The 27,918-nt window shown below is 34.2% G+C and overlaps 1 long non-coding RNA gene across 2 annotated transcripts; it reads right to left on the bottom strand.

The window, feature by feature from the left end:
- Positions 1–1,723: 1,723 nt before the first annotated feature.
- LOC105374018 (uncharacterized) lies at positions 1,724–27,783 on the bottom strand. Of its 2 annotated transcripts, XR_924298.2 has the most exons (5): positions 27,742–27,783; positions 18,152–18,209; positions 13,687–13,807; positions 12,719–12,988; positions 1,724–1,845 (listed from the first exon to the last, which is right to left on the bottom strand). It is a non-coding gene; the product is annotated as an uncharacterized LOC105374018 (long non-coding RNA). The 2 variants fall into 2 exon arrangements; XR_007096268.1 differs by lacking the exons at positions 18,152–18,209; positions 27,742–27,783 and adding an exon at positions 16,329–16,524.
- Between the last annotated feature and the right edge of the window lie 135 nt (positions 27,784–27,918).

Genomic DNA, 27,918 nt, shown 5'->3' on the forward strand with positions numbered 1-27,918 from the left:
TTCATATCCTAATTGACTATTTGTGTTTTCTTTTGAGAAGTGGCTTATACAACTTTTATAAAGAAGGAAGTTTTATCATTTGCAACAACAGGATGCTGCTGCTGTACATTATGCTAAGTGAATAAGCCAGGCACAGAAAGACAAATGCTGCATGATATGCTTTTTCTCTGTGTCCCCACTCAAATCTCATCTCAAATTATAATCCCCATGTGTCCAGGGAGGGATGTGACGAGAGGCGATTGGATCATAGGGGTGGTTTCCCCCGTGTTGTTCTCATGATAGTGAGGAAGTTCTCACAAGAACTGATGGTTTTAAAAGTGTTTGACAATTCCCTCTTCACTCCTTGTCTCTCCTGCTGCCTTGTGAAGACAATGCCTATCTTCCCTTCACCTTCTACCATGATTGTAAGTTCCCTGAGGCCTCCCCAGCCATGTGGAACTCTGAGTCAAGTAAAGCTCTTTCCTTTATAAATTACCCAGTCTCAGGTAGTATCTTTATAGCAGTGTGAAAACAGACTAACACACTGCATCATCTCACTTATATGTGGAATCTAAAAAAGTAAAACTCAGAGAAACAGAGAATAGAAGACTGGTTATCAGAGGTCAGAGACTGAGGAAAATAGGCAGATGTTGGTCAAAGGGTATGAACATTCAGATACAAGATTCATAAGTTTTGGAGACCTAATGTATAGCATTGTGACTATACTTAATAATAGTGTATACTTGAAATTTGTGAGGAGAGCAGATCTTAAGTATTCTCATCACAAAGAGAAAAAATGATAATGATATAAGGTGACAGGTATGCCAGTTATAATAGCTTGGGGCTGGCAATCATTTCACAATGTGTACATACATCGAAATGTCACATTGTACTCCTAAATACGGTCATGTGCCACATTAACATATTTTGGTTGACAGTGGACCACATATACAATAGTGGTCCCATAATATTATCATACAGTATTTTTTACTATACCTTTTCTATGTTTAGATATATTTAGATATACAAATACTTATCTTTGTGTTACAATGGCCTATAGTATTTAGTACAGTAATATGCTGTGCAGGTTTTAGCCTAGGAGCAATAGGCTATACCATATAACTTAGGTGTGTAGTTGGCTATATTATCTAGGTTTATAATCTATAGTGTTCCCACAATGACATCACCTAATGATGTGTTTCTCAGAAGGCATCTCTTTTGTTAAAGAACACACGGCTGTATATATAATTTCTGATAATTATATCTCAATAAAGCTAGAAAAAGATAAAGGAAATATGACACTCAGTTAAATTAGATTTTTAGACAAATAATCACTATTTAGTATAAATATGCTCTATGCCATATTTGGCACACACTTGTGCTAAAAAATTTACTTATTTTTTTATTGGAAATTCAAATTCAGCAGAGCATCTTGTATGTTACCTGGCAACGTTAACCGATATGTATTTTTAACAAAAGTTGATAAAAATAATGATGACTTGTTTCCCTTTTCATCATTTATAAATATGTATTAACTGAACACACACACAGATGCACAAAGGCCATTGAACATAAAAGAAAGATGAATATCTGTACCTAGATTACAATCTATTTCACAAGGTATAACTTTTATTTCATTGACATTGTGCTTGAAGCTGTAGTCATTTTATGCAATGTCACAGGTACTCAATAGAAGTGTTTTTGAATCCATGTGAGGCTTAATTCGATCATGAAGTTGCTTTGATCTGATTGGACTTTGTGAACTGTTATTCTCTCCAGATAAACAATAATGCAGAGGAAATCCATTTCTTGCTAGGGTGATGTGATATGCGTGTTGAAGAATAAGCAGAGGCCTGGCTCATTTGTCTGTGGAATTAAGACAACATTATGAGAATCAAAATCTTGAATGTGTTAGGTTACTGAGGATCCTCAAAGAACATTAGGAGTATCTCTGGAAAAAGAGTTTCCTAATCTAAAACTTTCTAAATATTCACTTAAAACTTTGTGTCTTCTGTATCTTTCTCTATAAGGAAATGTAATGCTCTAAGTAGACATAAGATTAAGTTCTTAAAAAAACTACTAGCAAAGAAAGTTTAATGTGAAATTTAACCTTTGCTGTTGTGTTACTGTAAACTCATATAAAAAACATGCTGACTAGAAGTGTGAGAATGATATTTTTGTCATAAGATTCTCACATGTTAGGAACTCGAAAAGGAAATATAAAAACCCAGGAGTCGCATTAAATGATATAACATTGAACACTCTAAAGTAAAAATGATTCTTGTTAGTGGGTCTCTGCATTTTGAAAGCTTTAAAATTAAAGTGCTGTAAGTAATTTTTATAAATAGCTGAAATTTTTGTTTTTTACTAGATTAGAGACTACATTAGGTGGTGAGAGTATCCTGTCTATTGTACTCAACCATAAAGGTTTGACTGTTCAATTTAGAATTTTCATAAAATGTAATATTTTCAGAGTTCTTACTATTATTAATTGTCAGTGCCTTTTTTCATCTGTGACTTTAGTCAGCTGGGTTTGCCATTATCATGAGCAACAGTGGAAGGGAAGGAAGGTACAAAGGCACTATAGTGAGACGACTGACCTCAACAGTCTGTAACCATTTCACGGTTTTTTCAGAATTATAAAATAAATAATTACATTTCAATCACATCATTATAAATAGTAGCAATAGTTAATGTGAAGTGCTTACCATGGTGTGTATAAATAGATACTGTTTGATATTTAAGCCAGCATCTGAACTTGTAATGATTTTTCCCACCACCTACAAATGAAATTTGTCTAAAAATGAACATCCCAGACAATCCACCATGAATTTGAAAATAGAAGCTAGTGACTCATGCATCATCACCTCTTTCCCTTTTACTCTATGTCTTCATGCCCTCAAGTGTCAGCATTTAGGTTCAAGGTATCAAGGAAAGAGCAAGTTCTCTGGTCTCAGAGGATCTGGGTTTGAACTCTGTAGAGGAGGAAAGATTTCTTTCCCTACTCATTACTAGGTTCATAGCTAAGGCACCTATAACAAAAGACAGATTAACAAGCATAGACATTTATTTTATATAAGTTTTATGTAATTTGGGAGGCTTCAGAAATCAAGACCCAAATAAACAGGGAAACCTGTGTTTTTTTACATTTAGTTTGGTGAAGAAATGGATAGTTGTAGAGAAGTGTGATTAGACAAATGAGGTCCAATCAAATGGTAATAAACTGGAGGGAACATAGAAGGGCCTATTTGTTCAGATTCTTCTCTGTTATCTTCAGAGATTAGGATATTGTTTTTCCTTGGGTATGGAGTGGGCACCTCTGGAATGAAGATTTTATAAACTGCTTCAGAAGAGAAGGACCAGAAAAAGATGAGAGTGGCTTTCCTGCTTTTGTTATTTTCTGAAATGCGAAAATACCATATTTTGGAGTAGCATGTCTGGAACCTCATCAACTTTATACTATTAACCACATCTCAGTAAGCAACAATAACTCTAGTGAATTCTAATTTCTATTTATAATATGAATCCTTGATTATTTAATGAGGAAAAAATAAGTTACCTAAGAAAGCACTTATCATAATGCTTTACATTTATAACAGGGATTCAAAAAATATTATGTTACTCCTCTTCTCCCAAGTCCTAGAGTCATTATACTTTATTAATACCTTACTCTTACTGAGTGCATATTATGTATCAGAAAATATTGAATGGCTTCATTTATGGTGTTGCTTTTAATCCTCACCATGCTTTTATGAAGTAGTTTCTATGATTTCTATTATTCTTGTTTATAGGGGAGAAAAATAAGGTATCAAAGCTCAAAGATGTTAGTTACCTGTGGGTGTTTCTTTGCTCCCTTAACCACATGACTGCTTACCATTTGGGAATATAAGGTTTTAGATACATATTACACTAAATAATACTCTATATTTTTCCATTAACTATGTTTCAATTCAAGTATTCAAAGTGTATTAGTTGTCTGAGTATAATGCACTATATAGGCACTATGGAAAAATACACATCTAACTAAGAGTCTCTTATCTCAAGAAACTCAAAATTGGAAGCAATCCTTATTAGTTCCAACCTCTAATCCATTGGCTGAACCATGAGTCTTATTTTATGATCACTTAGAACACAAAGAAGACAACAACCATATTGTATTCTCTTGGGCTATTAGAAATCAGAAATTACTAGTATAGATAAATTGCCAAGACACGCAGCTGAGAATTTATGCACATGCTAATGAAATCTGGTCATCAGGGCAATTTACTGAAGTTAAGGCAACTCAATTAGAAGAAAAAGAATAATGGATATGGAATTAACTTTAAGAAGTAATTTTAACAGTAGACACAAAGAGTTCAGCTTGCGTTCTATATTGCATGAGGAGATTATAAAATTCAGACATAAATTTATTGGTATTTAATCCCAATTATAATAAAAACTTGAAAAAAATAAGAGCATTTAATTCTGCTTCCCATAAGCATTGGGATTTTGAAATGAGAGTTTTATTTTTAAATGAAGATCAAATGTTCTTCTATGGTTATAAAAGAAGCCCCAGAGTCATATTTTAATAAAATGTAATTAAAAACCGATAAACTAGTAAACTTCATGCAGCTTAAAATAAGCCTTCTCATACAGGACAATGAACGCTAGATTAATGCAGTTGTTGCTATAATCTCTATGCTGTTCAGGGCCTGAATTCCAGCATTATTTTAAATTTTGAAATAATGGAGACATTAGACGGAGTGACTTCATAATATTGAGCAGTATACTTTTAGATTATAGAATGAAAAATTAATTCCATTTTTTCAGAGCTGTACTACGAACTAGATTGTTAAGGAGGCATTTAGATTATTCATTTATTTCAAAGAGAAAGATCACTGTGTTAGATTGAATGTGAAACTATCTCACTCTTTGGTTGTCGATTGGCCAACATTATCTACTGAATTTTGTGTATTAATACAGACAGTGAGTTATCTACGTTTTTAACACAGAAACATTGGTTATAAATGAACAAAAATATATTGGGTCTAAAAATTTCTATCTGTCAAAGGCATTTATTTGACATATTCCATTCTACCTATCAAAATACTCAAATCCTCTATTAAATACTAAAAACAGTTTCTGGCTAAATACTAACATAATTGAATTTAAACTAAACATGTCAGAATATTATCTATCACATTAGCACTGTTTCACTCAGTTTTATTATCCAAGATGTTGTGCATTTATTTCCGTTTTTCTGCAATTGCCCAAAATATTTTGTGAACTAAATTTGGAAATTATTGATAGAATTAGAAGCATGTCTATTTGAATACTCAGAATTAAATAGAAAAAGGAAGTTTTGGAACTCATCTTTTGGGAAAACAATTACATATGAATATATGTATTTCTGTGCTGTGTGAAAGACTGTGGATTAATAAATGTAGCGTCATTAACTGTGGTTATTTCAGGAGAAGGGAGTTGAAAAATAGAAAACTTATATTTAAATTTTATTTAATATTTCTTGAAATTGTTTTCATTGGAATGATGTGCATCACATATAGAAGGAAAAAAAACCAACGAAGTTATATTTAAAGATGTGTAAAGACGAAAATTACAGAAAAAGAAAATGCCTTCCTCCTCATAGTAATAGGGCTCCGATGAGTGGAGAGACAACAGGGTTCTTCATCTCCAGTTGAATTAGAAGAAACGACATGGACACACGTGGAGCAGTTTTAAGGAGCAGGGAGTTTAATAGGCAAGAAAGAAGGGGGAAGAAAGAAAGAAGCTCCCCTGTACAGAGACAGAGGGAGGGTGGCTCCAAAGCCGAGAGGTGTTATATATAAAGTTTCGGTGCCGCAAAGGAAATAGCACTCGAATATAAAATTTTCTTTTTAATTCTCAGCAAGGCAAGTTACTTCTATAGAAGGGTGCACCCTTACAGATGGAGCAATGGTGAGCGCACACTTGGAGAACGGAGGGGAAGGGGTTCTTATCCCTTACGCACATGGCCCCTACTGCTGTGTGGTTCCCCTATGGGCTAGGGTTAGACCGCATAGGCTAAACTAATTCCAGTTGGCTAATTTAAAGAGAATAATGGGGTGAGTGCTTTGGCGAGAGTCAGGGCAGAGCAGGTAGCAGGTAATTGGAATAAGTTAGGGTGGAGCAGGTGATTGCAATGTAGGGTGGAGCAGGTGATTGCAATGTAGGGTGGAGCAGGTGATTGCAATGTAGGGTGGAGCAGGTGATCAGAATGAATCAGGGTGGAGTAGGTAATTGGGATGAGTCAGGGTGGAGTAGGTAACTGAAAAAGGTTACTTTAGGAGGAAGTTTAAAAGTAGAAGGCAAAGAATTGAACATAATGACATTAATTCTTTGAAAAGAAATTTAGAACTCATATCTAACAGAGGGAACCCCGCCTTCAGGTAATATTAACTACCTATATCTGATGGCTGGAGGAGATGTTGCCTGCTTTGCATAGGGCTCAGGGGATTGGTTTGACCAGGCATGTCATTCACGTAGCCCGCGAAAAAGCTGGCCCTCCCACCCTGGCCTTTTAATATGCAAATGTAGAGCACTATGATGTTCCACACACGTGGGGATGTGTGGAGGCGGGCTTGTCGCCAGGCACATGTGGGAGCAAGGGCAAGAGGACAACGGTGGGAATCGCCATGTTGGGTGGACCCAGTTTCCAATGGCTGGTATTTGCTAATCAGAGGTTGCCTGCCGGGGTCTAAGACCCAAGGCTTTCATACTAGACAAGAGCTGCGAAAAATCTTCCAAGGACCCCTTTTTTCCTCTCTCTGCCTAAAATAATTTCTTAATAACTCCTACCTCAAGAGGGAATAAATATCTTGACTGTCATCACAACCCTATCCTGAGAAAATGAGACGTTTAGAGTTGTTACTTTCTAGATAACACACAGCTACTAAATGGTAGGTCAAACTTTTTGATCTATTTATGTCCAAGACCTATGTTTTTAGCCACTATATGATAATCCTATTATTTTCCAAAAAAACCTCATTGTATTTTTGTCTGAAATTATATATTTTTATTTGTCCTAGAGAATAAAGTAAAAATAATTTTAAAGCCTTTCTTTAATTGAGATATCTTTCTTTCTATATTGAAGATATGTGACTGCTTCATTAAGAGGTTACATTTTGTACTTTTTGTGTCTGATTTATTTTTCTCAACAGAGTGTTTTAGAAATTCATTCATGTTGTTTTTTATAGCTGCAGTTCATACCTTTTTATTTCTGGGTAGTATCTATTGTATGAATATACCACAATTTGTTTATCTAATCTCCTTTTGTGGGCATTTGGGTTGTTTCCAGGTTTTGGCTATTATATGTAAGGCTGCTGTGATTATTCTTTCACAGGTTTTTTGAGGACACATTCTCCTCACTCCTACTTTTCTCAGGTAAATACCTAGGAATGGAATTGCCGGGAGATAAGGTAAGAAACTGCCAATGAGTTTTCCAGAGTTGTGCCACTCTACAGTCTCATCAGCAATGTGTAAGAGTTCCAACCTCTGTATGTCACTCATATTTTCCTCTTTCTCTCAGAAACTGCGCAGAACTTTTTGAAGAATACCTAAGCAATAAGAACACAAATAGCCCTTCACTCTGACTTATACAAGAGTGTAATGCAATTGAAATGAGGGTAAAGTCAAACATCTTTCTACAGCATTTCATATTAGATCACATGGTGAAATGGTTCTTAACAATGGCTGAAGTTATTACCAAAACATTCTTCATAAATAAACTCACTCATAATGTCAGGTATAGACATGCATGAACGGACAGATTTTCTAAAGTGGAAGAGTGTGACAGTAATGACTATTTGAGTGCACATGTGAGACAGCCTTAAAGATGTCTTTGACTAGTAGGGATTGAGCACAGTCAGAATTTTAGAAAGTCTACCGATAAAGCCTGAGCCAGGAAAAATATCATTATTAATCCCTGCCACAGTGTTAGAGGAAAATATTAATATCTGATTGGACTTTAATGCTCCCTGATAAAGATAGATAAATACAAGCATTTTGCATATGGCCCACACATATACACAACTACAGAAAGTAAAATGACCTTCTCTTATAAAATCCAAAGCTTACTTCCTTACTTTTCTTTACAATTAGTTTTTAAGAAGTTACAGTGTCTGGTGGTGTGGGTGGGGATGAATGTCAGGATTATTATTGCAGTTGACAAGCAGGGCAGCTAAGTTTTTCTATTAGCTTGAAAAAAAATGCTTTGTGATGCTCTTTGGTTAACTCGATAGCATAGACAAACTAAAATAAACTTGTAAGCAAACCATTTTTGTGTCTTTATTATATATATTTGTTTCTTGAAACTTCCAATAATCTAGAAAAAGTTACTACACAGTATTTGTGTAGAAAGAAAATTTTTACAGAATAAGTACATTATTGTCATTGCAAAACTACTACTTCAATGATTATTCATTTCTAGGACAAACATGAAAAGTAGATGGCCTTATGTTAATACACATTTTTTTCCCAAAAAGTTTATGTGGATATGAGTTATTTGAATATGTTTAACATACATTAAATGCGTCTGCTTGTCAGGCCAAACCCTGGATCTGTGTATCATCATACATTGATGCATAATAAAATCATAAGATGTCTGGGTTGGAAAAAAAATCACCCTGTAATACTGTGTCTAATATTGGGACTATAGTGAAAATAATTTCAAGCTCTAATTTAGATTCCAGGAATACATTTGCCATGCCTTGACAGCATTAGAACACATTCTCACAGATTTCCTGGGCCCTATTTACTTTGGCTCTTGTGGTGTCTCTGGCAATGGAAATGATATTAAAGTGCTATCTGGGCTTACTTATAAGGGAATAAAAGCTGTATCCCAGTCACCTATCATAATAATTCATGTCGATAAGTGGAAGAGATAATACCCTGCCAGACAAAAAGTAATATCCTGTATTAAACTAATTTTATAGAAACTTTAAAAATGCATAAGAAAGTTGAGGGAGAAGGTCCTTTATAAATACCTGAATTGGAATCAAGAAGATATGTGGTTGATACAAATGATCAGTTGACTTTAAGCAGTCAAGAGTTGGAAGCTATTTCTCTTGCTTCCACTTTTTCATTCCTTTTCTCTCTCTCACACACATACACACAACACACACACACACCCACTTCCGACTATTGCTTGTCTTTTTCTGTTTTCACTGACTTATGCCATTATGAGAAACAGAAAAAATCCATCATAACAGGAATTTTGTGACACACACACACAAAACAATAAAAACAGCACACACAAAGCAAAACTGAAACAACAAATTTGAAAACAATGGAATCCAGGCTATTCCTGATACTCTTGGTAGGTGGAACAGTTTGAGAGTCATGCCCAAGTTTCCTGATGGAAAATAAGTGGATTCTGTCATTTATTCTATACTTCTTTCAGTCTAAGATACAAAGTCACAGAAAGAAAATCCAATTAGCCATGTTAAGATCACTTCACTTCTTCCAAAGTACAGAGAGAAAGATCTGAAATGAAAGCACCAATCACCAGAAATGGCAGCAGGAAAGATGGAGCTACTGTTTTCAAAAGGAAACCAAATACAATTAGGATGATGAGCAGATATTGAGGACTGTAAACAAACAAAACTCTACGAAACTCTTCCAAACATATAATTCTGCCTTTATAAACTGAAGATAAGTGACATTGAATCATCTACTAATACATATTTTTCAAAAATGACTGCCCCCACTAGGAAAAAAGTAAATTACAACAACAGCAAAACAGAAAATAAATGTGTTGGGAATTGGGGAATGCAGATTGGATATTGATAAAGAATCTCCCAACCCCATCATTCTGACCATAGTTTGAATCCTGGCTCTCTCTCTTGAATGTTTTGTGATCTGGGACATCTTACTCTCCTCTGATCCTCAGATTTAGTATCTTTCAATGGAAAAAATTTTACCTTCCTCAAACAGTTATACAGAATTAGCTACAACATATTAGAATACTTTGCAAGTGCCTGACATAGTCAATTATTAATAGATGATTGCCACTATAAATATATGCCACTATAAATATATTATTTCATAACTATTATATAATTTATCGTTAACACAGTAACATATTATTGTTATTTTTATTATTATAGAAAGGTTGACTGACTTCTATCAAGTATATTCTACATTTTTTCAGGCAGGAAGAAGAATTATTAATCAAAATAATTGTTTCACTCTCCTTAACGTACTTAGAAAAGTGTTATCTATCTAAAAGATGCCAAGGAAGCTTTTTTATTTTCCTGAAGGTAATATTTCCATTGGCTTCCATCAATCAATAAACAAAAATTTGGTGAGCACACACAGTGGTGGATGGAATGCTCAAATGCATTATAAAATGAGCAAGTAAACATATAGAGGATAAAGTGAATGGATACTATTTCATCAGAGTACAATAGTTTTATTTTGTCTTCCTTACTAATTTTTTTCAGGATCCGTATTCTAGAGAAATTTGTGTTCTTCTTAAAAAGTTTTTTATGAAGATGATCCTCTTCTTTTAGTCTAGTTTCTAGTCAAGTATGGAATCTTGCCAAGGAAAACTGAATGTGCAGTATTGATGATTACATGAGTCTGCTATTGCTGCCATAATGAAGTACCACAGACTGGGTGGCTTAAGCAATAGAAATTTATTTTCTCACAGTCTGGAAGCTAGAAGTCCAAGATCAAGGTAATGCTGAGGCTGATTTCCTCTGAGGCCTTACCACTTTGGCTTGCAGATGCAGTCTTCTTCCTGTGTCTTCACGTCGTCTTTTCTTTGTGTGTCTATGTTCCAAACTCTTTTTATAAGGAACCCAATCATATTAGATTAAGGCCTACCCTAGTTACCCATTTTACCTTAGTTCCCTAAAGTCCTTATTTCCAAACAAAGTCACATTCTGAGGCATTAGGAATTAGGGCTTCAGTGTTTACATTTTGGGAAGACACAATTCAGCTCACAAAATAAAAAGGTATTTTAAAACTCTCTAGAAATTTATTTAAGAGAACTCTGAACTGGAGTCCTTTACTCCCTAGAAAAATCATTTACTACATTTCTCTCTCAAGGCTCTTAAAATTACATTTTAAGTTGTGGAAAAAAAGGTTATTATGAAATGTTTCAGAAAAGTATACGTCTATGAATTTTTCATAGTGAATAGAAATCCTAACCAGAAACTTCACACTTTTCCTATAATCATGGCTAATTTTCAAAAATGTATACAAACATAGCTCATAACTGCTTTTCTCTTCCCAATATCATGGACCTTTGCTGGTGAAACTGTATTGGTTAAATATCAGACAATAAGTGTAAGCTCACTGATTTATTCAGGGATCTATTGTACAAATTAGATTATGATATTATATTACTATGCTAAACATCCTAGCTATGTCCTGAAATTTAACTGTGAAATCACTTTATCAGAGGGACCACAACTGATTTATAGTACATAAAATAAATTAAAATAGCTGTGCCTCCTTCTTTCCCTTTTGATATTCTCACTTTCATAGTTCTTATAAAATTTATAGATAATCTCTATGAAAATCAGCCTCTTGATCTGACATTAGGTGGTATTTAACTTAGTTTTGTCCTATCCTAACCTAAGCTTTGTTTACTGCTGAATGATTTTTTCAGTACTCTTGATAATCTCCTATTGCCACAACTCGGTTTCAGCATGTGAAACTATGTGATAGAAATCTATACTTAAAAAAATTGCTCACTACTCAAATAGCAGCATTCTTGCTTTAAATCTTTTCATAATATGAAAAGTCAGCAAGGGCATATCAAGATGATATATTGTCTGTTTTGGGCATTTTAAAGTTTCTCCATGCAAAAGAATTCCTTTCACAAATGCCAACTATGCTAAAATGCAAAGCATCAACATAATAAAATAGTGCATATGGCCATTCAATTAGATTATTCTCTCTCTCTTAAAGGAGCATTGCAACTAATGGGCATAATTGCCTTTGAGAGCTTGGGACAAGTTTATTTCCACCCAAGATGTTTTATATGTCATTTAAGCAATGAGAACTTTCTGGGGTAATGCCTTTACACTTTAATGAGAGAGTAGAACTCTGATTTTAATACTTAAACAGCCCACCAAAATGGAAATTGTAAATATTTTTGAAGAAGAAATGCCAGCAGAATTGTGCCAAACACTATTCTTAAAATATTGTAAATATAACATGTGCTAGGTTTAATTAACTTCTATTATCCATCAGTAAGGCTACATACCTGGCAACAATAGTGAACAGATGTATAAATACTGTAGGAGACTCTTTTGCTGAAAAATCTCTGAAGATTTTGCTCAGTCGGTAAGTACAACCTCTTGCTAGAGGATGTACTACTTTTAAAAATTGTGGCAAACATTCTAAGTTTTGCATGGAAAGATAAATCTTGGAGTCTTTCTTCACGGGATCATATTTTCTCTCCTTAAAATTTAAATTGAGTCTAGTTTTTTTATAGTATATGTAAACAATGGTCTATGCTGCAAGGTTATCAGATGAATTTAGGAAACAAAATGTCTTAGAAATACACCCAAAATAAATAGCCACCTGAGAAAAATGAAAATATCTGTGTAAACATTCGTGCATATTAAGAATGTATAGCATGTAGCAGTGTGTATTTTATTAGTAGTATTTAAATTTGTCTATTCCAGAAAGATTTACAGAAGAGTTACAGAATACATAAAATTTGGGGTCAGGTGTAAGAAGAAATGGTAACAGATTGTATCATACTCACTGGGAGCCTGTGGTCACTGGGTCTTGTGTAGGAAGTACAGGTAGTAGGGTGTCTCTTCTGTTCAAATTCTCATGCCTTCACTTCCCTACAGTGGGTGAGGGGTAGAGTGAAGACATCCAAAATATTTGTCACAAAAACTGTTCCCATGCCTACTTCATTTGGTAATACCAGGAATTCCTCTGATGGTGCCACTCTATCCGATGATATTCCAAGCTTCCATCCATAGTGTCTAGGCTATCTGTTATGCTTATAAACCATGATAGCAATAGCCTGCACATGGAGAGACAGCATAAAGAAAGAGGAAAATTTTTATTCAGGAAATGCCATTCTTTGTTTTTTGTAATTACCACTTTTCCTCACTAATTGTTCTAATTAAGTCTGTAAATTCTCAGGCATCCATATATTCCACAAGTGCTCCAAGGTTTCTAGAAGTAAGTAACTCACTATTACCTTGCTGTTTCTGTTCTTGTTAATCTCTATTGAACCTTTTACCAAAAGCAAAGTGGAGAAGATAGGCAAAAGATAAAAACTGATGATAAAATGAGAAATAGAGAAGCAAAGAAGAGTTTGGGGGCAGACATGAGGGTAGACAATAAGCAGAAGGAAAGAGAACAATGTGGAATTTCTAAGGGGTATAAAAGAAATGGCCACATGTGTGATCTTATGCTATTTTCCTTGCCTCCACTCTAAGAGCACCATACATCACCAGTGTGTGATCTATGTGTCATATATATAAGCATACATATGTGTGTGTGTGTACAAACACACATATGTTAGTCCTGAAAAATGATACAAATCTGTGTCGGTAATAGGCTCTGGGGATTTGAGAGCACAGAATCCTACGAGAGGCTCCTCAAGTAATAAGTAACTTCCCCAAGCTCTAGTTAGTCTAATTTTTCTCCTTGCAGTGTTCCCTCATTCCAACAATGATGAAGTAGAAAAGGAAAACAAAATTCTCCAATCCTCACCAAGTTCCAGCATTCATCAGGATGTCTCTCCTGTGGCCTGGCACAGTATTGGTTTGACAGCACTCTTTAGAGGGTAGTCTAACTTGTCTCTGGGAGGGCAACTCTTTCTTTTAACCTGTAACTGTGTTTAGAAAAATGTTTGTAAAATTCTGATTCTGACCTGTCACCTTCTGTGGGTTACTTTAAAATGGATTTCAATTACAAGGTAAAACACAAACTCTGCAGTCTGAAATTCTATATCCTCTCTATACAATCTATTCACTGACTGCCTTTGCAAACGTATCTCCAGCTATTTCAGCAATTCCAAAAGAAATGCTTTTTTCCCCCCTCTTTGATCTGCCTACTGAGCCATGCTAATCATTTCCACTCTGAGCCTTTCTTTACAGTATCCCTCTCATCTGAGCCCTCTTCTTCCCTTGGCCCATTCAAATCCTATCAACTTTTTTGGATGCAATGTGTATCCCATCTTCTCTGAGATCCTATCTTCCTAATATACTGTTCAGTAATAATTTTGTAAGTTTCCATTGCCCTTCCTCAATGACCAGTTATGTAGTGTTTGCATATTGGTATTGAATCTGCCATAGGTGTCTTTTTTCCCTAAAGAAACATACATTTTGAGATAAATGATCTTAACTTAGAGTCTTCTTTTTATCATTTGTAGAATCTGGCATGGCATGCTATACATAAAATATAAATTATTGATTGAGTACAGACTTCAAAACTCTTTTGGTTTGAGTCTTGAAGATAAATATTTAGGATAAAAAAATTAAGTTGAATAACCAAGCAATTGCATATTAAGAGTTCAATAAGTACTAAAATTATGCTAGTTTATAAACATATTTATGAGTTGCTCTACACAATAAGGTAAAATAATTGATGGCCGGGCACAGGGCTCACGCCTGTAATCCCAGCACTTTGGGAGGCCGAGGCCGGCGGATCACAAGGTCAGGAGTTCGAGACCAATCTGGCCAACATAGTGAAACCCCATCTCTACTAAAAATACGAAAAATTAACCAGGTGTGGTGGTGTGTGCCTGTAATCCCAGATACTTGGGAGGCGGAGGCAGGAGAATTGCGTGAACCTGGGAGGCAGAGTTTTCAGTGAATCGAGATGGCGCTATTGCACTCCAGCCCTTGCAACAGTGCGAGACTCCGTCTCAAAAAATTAAATACATAAAATAAAATAAAATAATTGACAAAATATCAAATGTAAAATATAACTATAAATTTGTAATTGTATATCTTGTTTGATATTTAAGTAGACAAAAGAAAAAAATTTAATACCCTAGGTTGAATTGCATTACTCTGTAAAAGTTTTACTACTAACACAAAAAAAGTAAAAGAAAAAAATAAGTTGACTAGCAGTTAATGAACATCACTATGAGAGTGTGAATTATATTCCTCACAAAAATAACAAAATAGCAAAAATAACAAAAGGCATGCAGCACAACCATATTTGCACATCGATGAAAGCTAAGCATAACTTTTCTAAGGCCTAAAAGTTCTCAATTAAACTATTAAAGTAATTGGATTTTGTGTTTAATCTCAGCATCACAGAAACTGTACATTGAGATGTCTTTCACAAATACAGAGTCAGGAAGAATTATCTCTACTTATTTTGTTATTATAGTTGATATATGAAAATACACGGTGAAAAGGATTCTACTATCTACAAGAAAAATGCAGCTAGATTACTTTTCCATTCCTAATAGAAACTTCGAAAAGATATCTTTTCTTTCTCTCTCTTTCTTTTAATCACAAATCCAATCTGGAACAGAAGCCAACGATAAACTTAATCTTCTGGTGAGTTTCAGCCATTTGACAATTATATAGGTTGGCTCATCAAGTAGGCATTGATTGTTAGCATTAGCCACGAGTATATAAACACTTATAAATATTGCATGCAGAAGAGAAGCTGCACTTAGATGGATGATTAATAGTCCTGTTGTTGGTAATCTATTGTATCTTTTTTGCATGGAAAAAGCAATTAGAAACACATTTCCGACTATCCCAGACAGACCTTAGATGCTTCATAGCGGAAAATTAAAATTTTAGACATTGCAAAGAGTGTAACAAATGTATCTTCAGGCACCACATAATAATAGTACCTGGAGGACTCGGACAAGCTCATGAGACCACAATTTGACTTACCTTTCCTCCTTTAGATAATTTAGTTTTATAAAACCATGAAATTATTTATTTTGATAGTGGATTTGGGTGTGTGTGTGTGTGTGTGTGTGCATGCAGTTTACTGATTAATAAGAAATATGTGTGAATACATAAAAGGAGGGAGGGAAGGAGTGAGAGAGAGAGACTTACTCCAGAAAAATAAGTACAAATGGAAAAGGAATGGTAACTCTGACAAACATACCTTACTAAACCTATAAATATGCAGGTCAGGAGACTTATACAACAGTCTGAAAATAAATTTTGCTATCAAAATTCCAAAGTTTTATTATAATCTTTGAGTAAAATTGATTTTTAATATGAAAAAAATCCTTTATTGTATTCTTAGAGTTTTTCATTGTATACACTACAAACTAGATATTATATGTCAGGTAAGTCATTGTTGTCTAAAAACTGCCATATTAGATTTCTTCCTGGAAGAGAATTGTAACTTTTATTATTATTATCATTACTTACACTGAGGAACTGCTCACATTCTAGGAAAACTTTTAAAAATCAGTCTAAGAGGAGCAGAGAGTATCGAGCTAAGTTAATGTTATTAGGAATCCATTAAAATCCTTTATGGACATTTCCTTGCCTTTCTTTTAAATGGCTGTAAATACCAGGAGCCTTCTTTGCAGCAGAGAAATTGGGCCTACAGAGGGCAACTAGATTCAATTCCCACCAATGAGTGCATCTTTTCTTCATTATTTCATGTACCAATTTCACTATACTTGAGTAATGAAAAAAAAAAAACAGAATTAGTATAGTGTCTTAGGATTATTAGGTTATTCTTCATCACATATTATTTTCAGAAATTTCATATATTAACTTTTAAATTTTTAACTTCAAGTTCTAAATACTATAATGGTAGAATTTTCTATTAACATAACAATAACTTACTGATGACATCATAAAACCTAAAATGTATGTGACACCACTTTCTTTCGTATTCTTTTCTCTATAACCTCCAGCTCATAAAACAAAGTTTTGAATCAAATGAATGAAAGTGAGTGTTGTGGGCCAGTGGATATTGAAGACAGTGGATGTCTGTTCCAACTTGCTGTTGATAAAACTCATAAGTGTGTTGTGATGTATTGTTATAAAGCACCTCTGTCCTCACAATCCTAACACCCACCCATATTACAGTCTGTATGTGTGATAACAAGAGTGATTTTGGAGAAAGGAAAGAGATAGAAGAAAGGGAGAGGGAACAGAAGGTACTCTTATGGATAATAAAATGATGACACTTTAAAAAACACATCTGATGCAATTTGTACATAGTTAAAATCTACATTTAGTTGTGTGTACTGCAGTATTCCTGTTTAGGAATAAAATATCTATTACATAGGATAAAGTTTTAAATTAACAATTTTTTTCTGTTACTAGAAAATATAGGCCATAATTTTTCCTTAGTCTAGATGGAATTTGAAGCAAAAAAAATCTATAAAATCTATTGACTGAGAAAGCCATATCAGGTAAACAAAAGGAGTTATGAATTCTTATGGGATGGCTCTCCTAATAACTAGTTTTAACTATCTTAATAAATGCTAGTCCTACAACTAATGCTTTTTTGGTGCTGCTTTTTTGTCAGAGCTGATTGGGACTTTTCTGGATTATCCATTGTCTTTCCCTAGTTTTAGTGTTCATAGCAAAGTGCGAGAATGCATACTACATCTTTTTGGTTGACTTGATTTACATGATTTTTTCAAGCCTAAGTAGACAGCCAATTTAACTGCTTCAATATGGCCAAAAAGCTGGACTCAATGGCTGTTATCAGATCTCATTAGAAAAGAAGATTACTAAGACAAGGCTTCATTTGGAAGAATCATCTCTTTTCCTCTCCAGATAGAGGTTTGAGGAAGCCAGAGACATGGCTCAGGTGTTGCATCTGTGACAGTTTTCTGGCAGAGCAGTATTCCTTAATTGCCCATCTAGCTAGGAGGAAGCTTTATTAGACACATTTATTGTTCTCATTGCAAACTGGTGTTCCACAGTATTACCCTCCAAGTCAATTGTGTGGCTATTTGTCAGGCCAGGTGAATAATGCAGTACTGAAATAACTATTGGTTATTTTGATATAGGAATAATCTAATTTTGTTAATTTTGTGGCAATCTGTTGAGAATTAACTGATATTTTTAAAAAGTGAAATTAGCCTGTAAATGGTTGATTTGATATGCATGGTTTACAGTATACAGGTACACCTAACAAAGCCATTTGTTTTCTATAAAATTACAGTAAAACACAATATAATCAACGTTTAATCACAATTCTTAAATGTGCATAAATACGAACTTACCTCTGCCTCAGCTCATTCCTGTGTGTGCTCTCCTTATGTCACTCATAAAACAGCTTCCCTTTGGGATTCCAAGAAAGCAAACCTTTAGACCACCCCATAACTGAGAATGATTCTACCCTTAGCAGCTTCCAATCTTTCCAGTGTTATTTTTCTGATGGTTTTGTTTTTGTTCAGTGATGTTTACAGCATACAAACCAAACTGCATGTGAAATATTGCCCACCTGCAAAAGCTCTCAAAGGGCACTAAATGAGGTAACCATGACATGCAAGAATGATTGTTTCTGGGATAAGAGGATGGAGTTACACAAAGACAATACTCTCTAGGTAAACCTGAAATGAGTCATTTGACATATTTCAAGGGCAAACTGAACAGCTTAAAAAACGCCTATTTAGTAACAGAAAACAGTTGCTACAGCTATACATTGGTTTACTTAGATTGGTTGACCAACCCTCGAATACTAGCTTTTTCTATGCATTGTGTTGGCCCTGTCTTCTCTTCCTCCCTCCCTTCCTTCCTTTCATTTTATTTCCTCAGGGAAATTTTCCAATACAACCCCTTGCTCCTAAAAGCATGTGACAACTCTTCTAAGTTCACTGTGCTCTGTCTTTCCTTGAAATTCCTATGGCAATTATAAAGATGTTTAATTATACTTCACTTTATACTGATTTCATATTAATTATCATAAATATTTTCTTTATGAAGTTTATCATAGGCAGAAAAATATTTGTATGTGCCAATAAAGAGTAGGAAAAAATTAATATCCATTATAGTTTAAATATAATCATCACCATTAATTTTAAAGCTCTTGTGTGCAATATCTCCTTATGGCTTTTCCTCAGTTTCTGTTACATTGTCTTATTTTTATTTATTTGTAGGAGTTAATTTTAGGAGATTATATATAATCCTTCCTCAGAAGTGTGTTGCAAAATCTTCTCTACGTGACTTAAATAAAACAAAACCTCTTTAGAAGAAAATATATGAAGCTATCTTCACATCCTCTGGATAAAAAAGGTTTGTTTTTAAACAAGACATAAAAGCACGTACCATAAAGAAAAATATAAAACATTTTAACTACATTAAAACTAGTAATTTATTTTAATTAAAAAATAAAAAGAATGAAGAAAACAAAGTCATATCAAAAATAGTTATACTTCGGTAGATATTTTTTCTTATCACTATGGAGATATTTCATTCTTTTTGGCTTCCCTTTTTGCCGTTGAGAAATAAATAGTCTGACTGTTATTTTTCTGTAGGTCAACTGATCTTGTTCTTGGATTGCTTTGAAGGCCTTTTCTTTGTGTTTTGTTTATTCATCTGCTCTGCTATTTTGCCCTGGCATGGCTGTGTATTTTCTTTTTATTTATTCTGCTTGAGATTCTTTAAGTTTTCTGAATCTGAAGAATGTTATATTCTATAAAACATGGTATATTATTTACTGTTATGTCTCTGACTATGGCCTTTCCCTAATCTTCTGATTCTCCACTTTTGAAAATATGATTAGAGAGAGTTTGGGCAAATTCACTCTATCCTTCCTGATTATAGTTTTTATCTCTGTCTTCCTGAATAATTATCTATAGAACTATGTTCTACTTCACTAATGCTTTCTGAAGCTGTGTTTAATTGCTTTTAATGTGAAGTTTTAATTACTAAAATTAAATATTTTAGTAGTAGTATATTTTTATTTTATGTCAATATTATTTGTATAAAAATTTTAATATATATAGTATATTTTTCATTTTTGGAAGTTTGTGCTAATTTCAAAATTCAGAAAAAAATTGATGTTTTATTGTTTAACATAACTTCAATTACCTTCTTTATTTCTTTACATGTAAATGTATTTATTTGATATTTTTATGTGATGATTCCATTGTCTACAGTTTGGGAATCTGATGCTTTAGTTTTACTCTTGCTTGTGCTTATTCATTGTTTTGTGATTCTTGATGGTTTTATTTTGAATGCAGGTTGCTATTTAGAATTTTATTAATAGAAAGAATTTGAGGACTTTGTTTAAAATATTTTCCATTTATTTATTTTTTCTCCAAATCCCTATGGACAGACCAATATGGGGCTGCATTAGACTAATTTTTTTTTAGGCTTTTAAGGCAACAAGTTATATGATTTCAGGACACAAGGTTGTGTGATTACGAGTTTATGCTTTAAAAATATTTTTTTCTTTTTAACTTTCGTTCTACTCAGCCCCAATTCAAGGCCAAATCAGTCACCTATACTACTGTAGTATGTATTTGGTGATTGTTTGTTTGTTTTCCTAATTCACCTACTGAGTATGTTATCCTTTAGGAATATTGGCCTTATGTGGAGAATTCTGAGCTGATACTCTTTCTTCTCCTGCTTAATTTTTATCCATTTTTCTTGTATGTGGCCCTTTTAACCCCTAGTGTATGGACTTTGAAGATAGACAACTTCCAGACAAATCCTGACATTAGTGCTACATTATTCTTTTTTAATTACACTTTCTTCTCTTTGTGGCTTCCATTTTCCTTACTATACTGCTAGTGCAGGCACAATTTGACATATATATATTAAATATTGCAGGATTTTGTGTACTGTCCCAGGAGTGGCTTCTCTTGTTTGGTCTGTCTTATCTTAGTATTTTTTTTCACAGGGAAGTTATAAACTTCCTTAAGGTACAAAAATTATTACAGTTTTATATGTCTAGAGGATATATTGCTTAATGTTATGCACTTACAAGGTGCTAAGTAAACTTTCTAAAATGCATTAAAATTTACTCAATAAACTGAAAATCTTGTGATGAGCTGTACTCTTTATTCATGCATACTAGAGGCTCGTATCAAGTCAATGCAATCTCTGTTGAGCATTTATTAACTTACAATCTGTAAGGCATTGTATCAATTCTATGATTACAAGAGACAGCACCTTAATTCAACTAGTTGAAGACATTTTAGTTTAATCAGAAGCCCCCAAAAGAGTTAAAGGAAATATTTTATTCATTTTAATGATAAATTTCTCATAATATCTGCTACAATCCCCACCACTGTAAACAACTGAAAAAAATACGTATATATATAGCACACATATAGCATATATATATATATGTATATATATATATATATATATATGCTACTTGAATCTGGTTTGACATATATATATGTCAGATTGAAGTAGCATAACCAATTGAAACATAATTATTTAATACTTTTTTTGACCAGTAAAATCTTTAAATACTTTTTTTTATTATACTTTAAGTTCTGGGATACACGTGCAGAATATGCATCTTTCATACATAGGTATACATGTACCATGGTGGCTTGCTGCACCCATCAACCTGTCATATACATTAGGTATTTCTCCTAACGCTATCCCTCCCCTTGCCCCCCACCCCCGACAGGCCCTGCTGTGTGATGTTTTCCTCCATGTGCCCATATGTTCTCATTGTTCAACTCCCACTTATGAGTGAGAACATGCAGTGTTTGTTTCTCTGTTCCTGTGTTTGCTGGGTATGATGGTTTCTGGCTTCAACTATGTTCCTGCAAAGGACATAAACTCATTCTTTTTTATGGCTGCATCATATTCCATGGTGTATATGTGCCACATTTTTTTATCCAGTCTATCATTGATGAGCATTTGGCTTGGTTCCAAGCTTTTGCTATTGTGACTAGTGCTGCAATAAACATATGTGTGCATGTGTCTTTATAGTAGAATGATTTATAATCATTTGAGTATATACCCAGTAATGGGATTGCTGGGTCAAATGGTATTTCTAGTTCTAGATCCTGGAGGTATCACCACACCATCTTCCACAATGATTGAACTAATTTATACTCCCACCAACACTGTAAAAGTATTCCTATTTCTCCACATCCTCTCCAGCATCTGTTATTTCCAGACTTGTTAATAATCGCCATTCCAACTGGCATGAGAAGGTATGTCATTGTGGTTTTGATTTGCATTTCTCTAGTGACCAGTGATGATGAACTTTTTCTCATATGTTTGTTGGTCATATAAATGTCTTCTTTTGAGAAGTGTCTGTTCATATCCTTCGCCCACTTTTTGATGGGGTGGTTTGTTTTCTTGTAAATTTGTTTAAGTTTTTGTAGATTCTGGATATTAGCCCTTTGTTAGATAGATAGTTTGCAAATTTTTCTCCCATTCTGTAGGTTGCCTGTTCCCTCTGATGATAGTTTCTTTTGCTGTGCAGAAGCTCTTTAGTTTAATTAGATCTCATTTGTCAATTCAATTTTGGCTTTTGTTGCAATTGCTTTTGGTGTTTCAGTCATGAAGTCTGTGCCCATGCCTATGTCATGAATGGTATTTCCTAGGTTTTCTTCTAGGGTTTTTATGGTTTTAGGTCTAACATTTAAGTCTTTAATTCATCTTGAGTTATTTTTTGTATAAGGTGTAAGGAAGGGATCCAATTTCAGTTTTCTGCATATGGCTAGCCAATTTTCCCAACACCATTTATTAAATAGAAAATACTTTCCCCATTGCTTGTTTTTCTCAGGTTTGTCAAAGATCAGATGGTTGTAGATGTGTGGTGTTATTTCTGAGACCTCTGTTCTGTTCCATTGGTCTATATATCTGTTTTGGTACCAGTACCATGCTGTTTTGATTACTGTAGCCATGTAGTATAGTTTGAAGTCAGATAGTGTGATGCCTTCAGCTTTGTTCTTTTTGCTTAGGATTGTCTTGGCTATGTGGGCTCTTTTTTTGTTCCATATGAAATTGAAAGTAGTTTTTTCCAATTCTGTGAAGAAAGCCAATGGTAGCTTGATGGGGATAGCCTTGAATCTATAAATAACTTTGGGCAGTATGGCCATTTTCACGATATTGATTCTACCTATCTATGAGCATTGAATGTTTTTCCATTTGTTTGTGTCCTCTCTTATTTCCTTGAGCAGTGGTTTGTAGTTCTTGAAGAGGTCCTTCACATCCCTTGTAAGTTGGATTCCTAGGTATTTTATTCCCTTTGCAGCAATTGTGAATGAGAGTTCACTCATGATTTGGCTCTCTGTCTATTATTGGTGTATAGCAATGCTTTTGATTTTTGCACATTGATTTTGTATCTTGATATATGGTTGAAGTTGCTTATCAGATTAAGGAGATTTTGGGCTGAGACAATGGGGTTTTCTAAGTATACAATCATGTCATCTGCAAACAGGGGCAATTTGACTTCCTCTTTTCCTATTTGAATACCCTTTATTTCTTTACCTTGTCTGATTGTCCTGGGCAGAACTTCCAATATTTTGTTGAATAAGAGTGGTGAGAGAGGGCATCTTTGTCTTATGGCAGTTTTCAAAGGGAATGCTTCCAGCTTTTGCCCATTCGGTATGATATTTGTTGTGGGTTTGTCATCAATAGCTCTTATTATTTTGAGATACATTCTATCAATACCTACTTTATTGAGAGTTTTTAGCCTGAAGGGGTGCTGAATCTTATCAAAGGCCTTTTGTGCATCTATTGAGTTAGTCATGAGATTTTTCTCATTAGTTCTGCTTATGTGATGGATTACGTTTATTGATTTGTGTATGTTGAACCAGACTTGAATTCCAGGGATGAAGCCGACTTGATCTTGTTGGATAAGCTTTTTAGTGTGCTGCTGGATTCGGTTTACCAGTATTTTATTGAGGATTTTTGCATCAATGTTCATCAGGGATATTGGCCTGATATTTCCTTTTTTTGTTGTGTCTCTGCCAGGTTTTGGTATCAGGATGATGCTGGCCTCATAAAATGAGTTGGGGAGGAGTCTCTCTTTTTCTCTTGTTTGGAATAGTTTCAGAAGGAATGATATCAGCTCCTCTTTGTACCTCTGGTAGAATTTGGCTGTGAATCCATCTGGTCCTGGACCTTTTTTGGTTGGTAGGCTATTAATTACTGCCTCAATTTCAGAACTTGTTATTGGTCTATTCAGGGATTCAACTTCTTCCTGGTTTAGTCTTGGGAGTGTTATGTGTCCAGGAATTTATCCATTTCTTCTAGATATTCTAGTTTATTTGCATAGAGGTGTTTAGAGTATTCTCTGGTGGTAGTTTGTATTTCTGTGGGATCAGTGGTGATACCCCTTTTATCATTTTTTATTGTGTCTATTTGATTCTTCTCTCTTTTCTTCTTTATTAGTCCAGCTAGTGGTCTATTTTGTTAATCTTTTCAAAAAACTAGCTCCTGATTTCATTGATTTTTTGAAGGATTTTTTTGTGTCTCTCTTTCAGTTCTTCCTTAATCTTAGTTATTTCTTGTCTTCTGCTAGCTTTTAAATTTGTTTGCTCTTGCTTCTCTAGTTCTTTTAATTGTCATGTTGGGGTGTCGATTTTAGATCCTTCCTGCTTTCTCCTGTGGGCATTAAGTGCTATAAATTTCCCTCTAAACACTGCTTTAGCTATGTCCCAGAGATTCTGGTACATTGTGTCTTTGTTGTCATTGTTTTTGAATAACTTATTTATTTCCACTTATTTCATTAAGTTGTTCTTCAATCTCTGATATCCCTTCTTCCACTTGATCAATTTGAGTACTGAAACTTGTGTATGCTTCGCAGAGCTATGTCATATAATTCTTATTAATTTTCTGCCTGCTTTGTCTACCAATTACTTGCATAGAAATGTTTATGTCTCCAACTATGGTAGTGAATTTAGTTATTTTTATTTTGTTATTTTTGGTTTCAGTTATTTTGATGCCTTGTTTATAGGCACATAAAGGTTTAGAATTGTTATGACTTCTTATAAAATGGACCCCTTTATTATTTATATTATCTTTATCTGGGAAAATATTTGTTGTACTGAAGTTTGCTTTTCCTTAAATTAAAATAGCTACTACAGGTTTCTTTTGATTATTATTAGTATAGTGTATGTTTCTCCATCTCTTTATTTTAACTTACGTGAAACTTTGTATTTAAGGTGTGTTGTGTTTCTTTTGGACAGCATATAGTTAGGTTAAGTTTTCATTCAATCTGATCATCTGCCTCTTAACTAATGTACTTAAACCATGTGCATTAAGAGTGATTACTGATACAATAAATTAATATCTACACTTTTAATAAAAGTATTCATTTCAGGCCGGGTGCAGTTGCTAATGCCTGTAATCCCAGCACTTTGGGAGGCCAAGGAGGGCAGATCATGAGGTCAGGAGTTCGAGACCAGTCTGTCCAACATAGTGAAACCCCGTCTCTACTAAAAATACAAAAATTAGCCAGGCATGGTGGTGCATGCCTGTAGTCCCAGCTACTCAGGAGGCTGAGGCAGGATAATCACTTGAACCCGGGAGGCAGAGGTTGTGGTGAGCTGAGATCATGCCACTGCGTTCCAGCCTGGATAACACCAACAGAGTGAGACTTCTTTTATTTTTTTATTTTTTATTTTTTTAAAACAGTATTCATTTCATTAATACTTTGTAATTTTTTCCATCATTTTTTGCCTTCTTGTAATGAATTTGGCATCATAAGTGGTCCATTTTACCTCTTTTCTTTAACTGTAATATATGCTTTTAAAAAATATTTCACTCTACTCCCTTTGTGTTTGCATGGTTTTTGATGAGTTTATTGCAATTCTTACCCTCGATTTTCTATACATAAATTTTCCCCCTGCTCTGGTATTTATAAAGGTATTCTCTTTTAAGTTTCTCTGTAGTTTGAATATAATATGTCATTAAAAAACTATCTTGTTTGGTGTTTTCTGAGTTTCTTGGGTGTGTAGTTTGTTGTGTGTCGTTAATTTTGGCCATTTTTGTTTCAAATATTAATCATGTGGTTTTTTTTTGCCTTTTTTCTCCTTTTTATATTCCAGTTACACATATATTATACTATTTAATATTTTCCCAGGGTCTTAAATATTCTGTTCTTTTTTTAAATTATTTTTCTTTTCTCTGTGTTTTAGTTTGGGGAGTTTCCATTTATCCGTCTTCAAGTTATTGATTTTATTCTTTCCTCAGTTATGTAGAGTTTAGTGATGAGCCCATCAATCTATTCTTCATTTATTTAACTGTGTGTTTAGTTTTAGCATTTATTTTTTGAGTCTGTTATAGAGTTTCCATCTCTCTAATAACATTATACATCTGGTCTTACATGTTGCCTATTGTTCCTATTTGATAATTTCAACATCTGTGTCATATCTGAGTCTAGATATGATGTTTCTGTTGTCTCTTCAGACTCTGCTTTTTCCTGGCTTTAGAATGACTTGTAATTTTTGTTCAAAGCCAATAATATTATGTCAGGTAAATAGGCCTTCAGTGTGAAGATTTAAGTCAATCTGGCTAGGATTTTGGCTGTTTTTATAAATTGTTATAGCTCTAGGAATCAGAAGAAATTCCTCTAGTGTCTTCATTTTTGTCTCCTGTCTAGTCTTTGGGACTTCTGTTTGTATTGCTCCTCAGAAAGAGTCTGTGTCTTGCAGCTTTCCAGCTTTAATCCATTGTTATTATTTTTAAAAGAAAAACAGCCAAATTAAATTTAAAAGAGTTTTATTGAGCAATGAATAATTTGTGAATCACGCAGCCCCCAGAATCACAGCAGATTCAGAAGGATTCCAGGGTTGCCTCATGGTCAGAACAAATTTATAGCCCAAAAAAAAAAAAAAAAAAAAAAAAGTAAATTGATGTACTGAAACTGGAAGTGAGGTAAAGAAACAGTTGGATTTGTTATAGCTCCACATTTGACTTATTTGAACGCTGTGAACCCTCAGCAGTGTATGACTGGTTGAAGTAAGGTTGCTGGGATTGGGTAAGACTCAGCGATTGTTACAGGCACATACTCCTAAATTAGGTTTTCAATCTTGTCTATCTATTAAGTTAGGTTGCAGTTCATCCACAAGGACTCAAAAATAGAAGTACAGAGTCCTTCTCAGGCCATATTTAGTTTGCTTTAACATTACATTTGGGACTTACTGGTGTGGTGCTAGTGGGTATTGGAGGGGTACTGCTGTGCAATCTTCTGATTATGTCTCAGTCTTTTAGAAAGTCTGCATCTTATGGGTAGGGCATTTATAAATGTTTCTGTCCCTACCCCACGGTTATAGCTTTCCTCCTTCTGTCCCTTATTTCATTCACTGTGTGCAGCTTTGCTTATCTATTCCCCTGACTGCCTGCCCTTGTTCACTTTGTTATTAATGTTGTTATTATTTACCTTAACAATACCTTAGACAAAAAGGGTGGAGTTGGAGTAGAATTTCCTTCCCCTACCTGAGATAAAGTTTTAGAATTGCTCTTTCCCCTAAAGTCCAGGCGTTTGCTCGGAAAATGAGTCTGGGTGAGATTCACAAAGCTAGTCTTCCTTTCTCCAAGTTAGATTTACGAATCTTCAACAGATTTGCACTGTAAGATTACAGTGGGATTCCTAGAGTGAATGCCTTTGTAAATGTAGGAGGGCCCTTTCTAATGCAGCCCCCATGAATTCCTCACTCTCAAGCAATTCTACACTCAGTCTGAAGCAATTTATAAAACAACCATCTGAATATTCCTACCAGCTTAAGGATTCCGGTGGCTTCTGCTCTAGGTAAGCAAATATTAGCAGTTTTATTTCTCTAGATACATCTGTCTCTCTAGATTTCAGAATAATAGTTTACTGTGTTACCTTGGTTCTTTGATACATAAAAGTTGTTGATTTTTATTTTCTTTAGCTTTCACTTACTGTAAGATGGTAGTGATGACTTCTAAGCTCTTTACATGTTGGATCTGAAGCCAGAAGTATTTGATTTTGGTTTTTGTTTTTTTTCCATTTAAACACTGTGAAGTCACAATTAGATAGTAAGTAAAATTGTGAGATACACCATCAATTGTCATGACCTCAGTATAGCATAATTATGTG

The sequence above is a fragment of the Homo sapiens genome, chromosome 3 (genome assembly GCF_000001405.40).
Source record: "Homo sapiens chromosome 3, GRCh38.p14 Primary Assembly".
Taxonomy (NCBI): domain Eukaryota; kingdom Metazoa; phylum Chordata; class Mammalia; order Primates; family Hominidae; genus Homo; species Homo sapiens.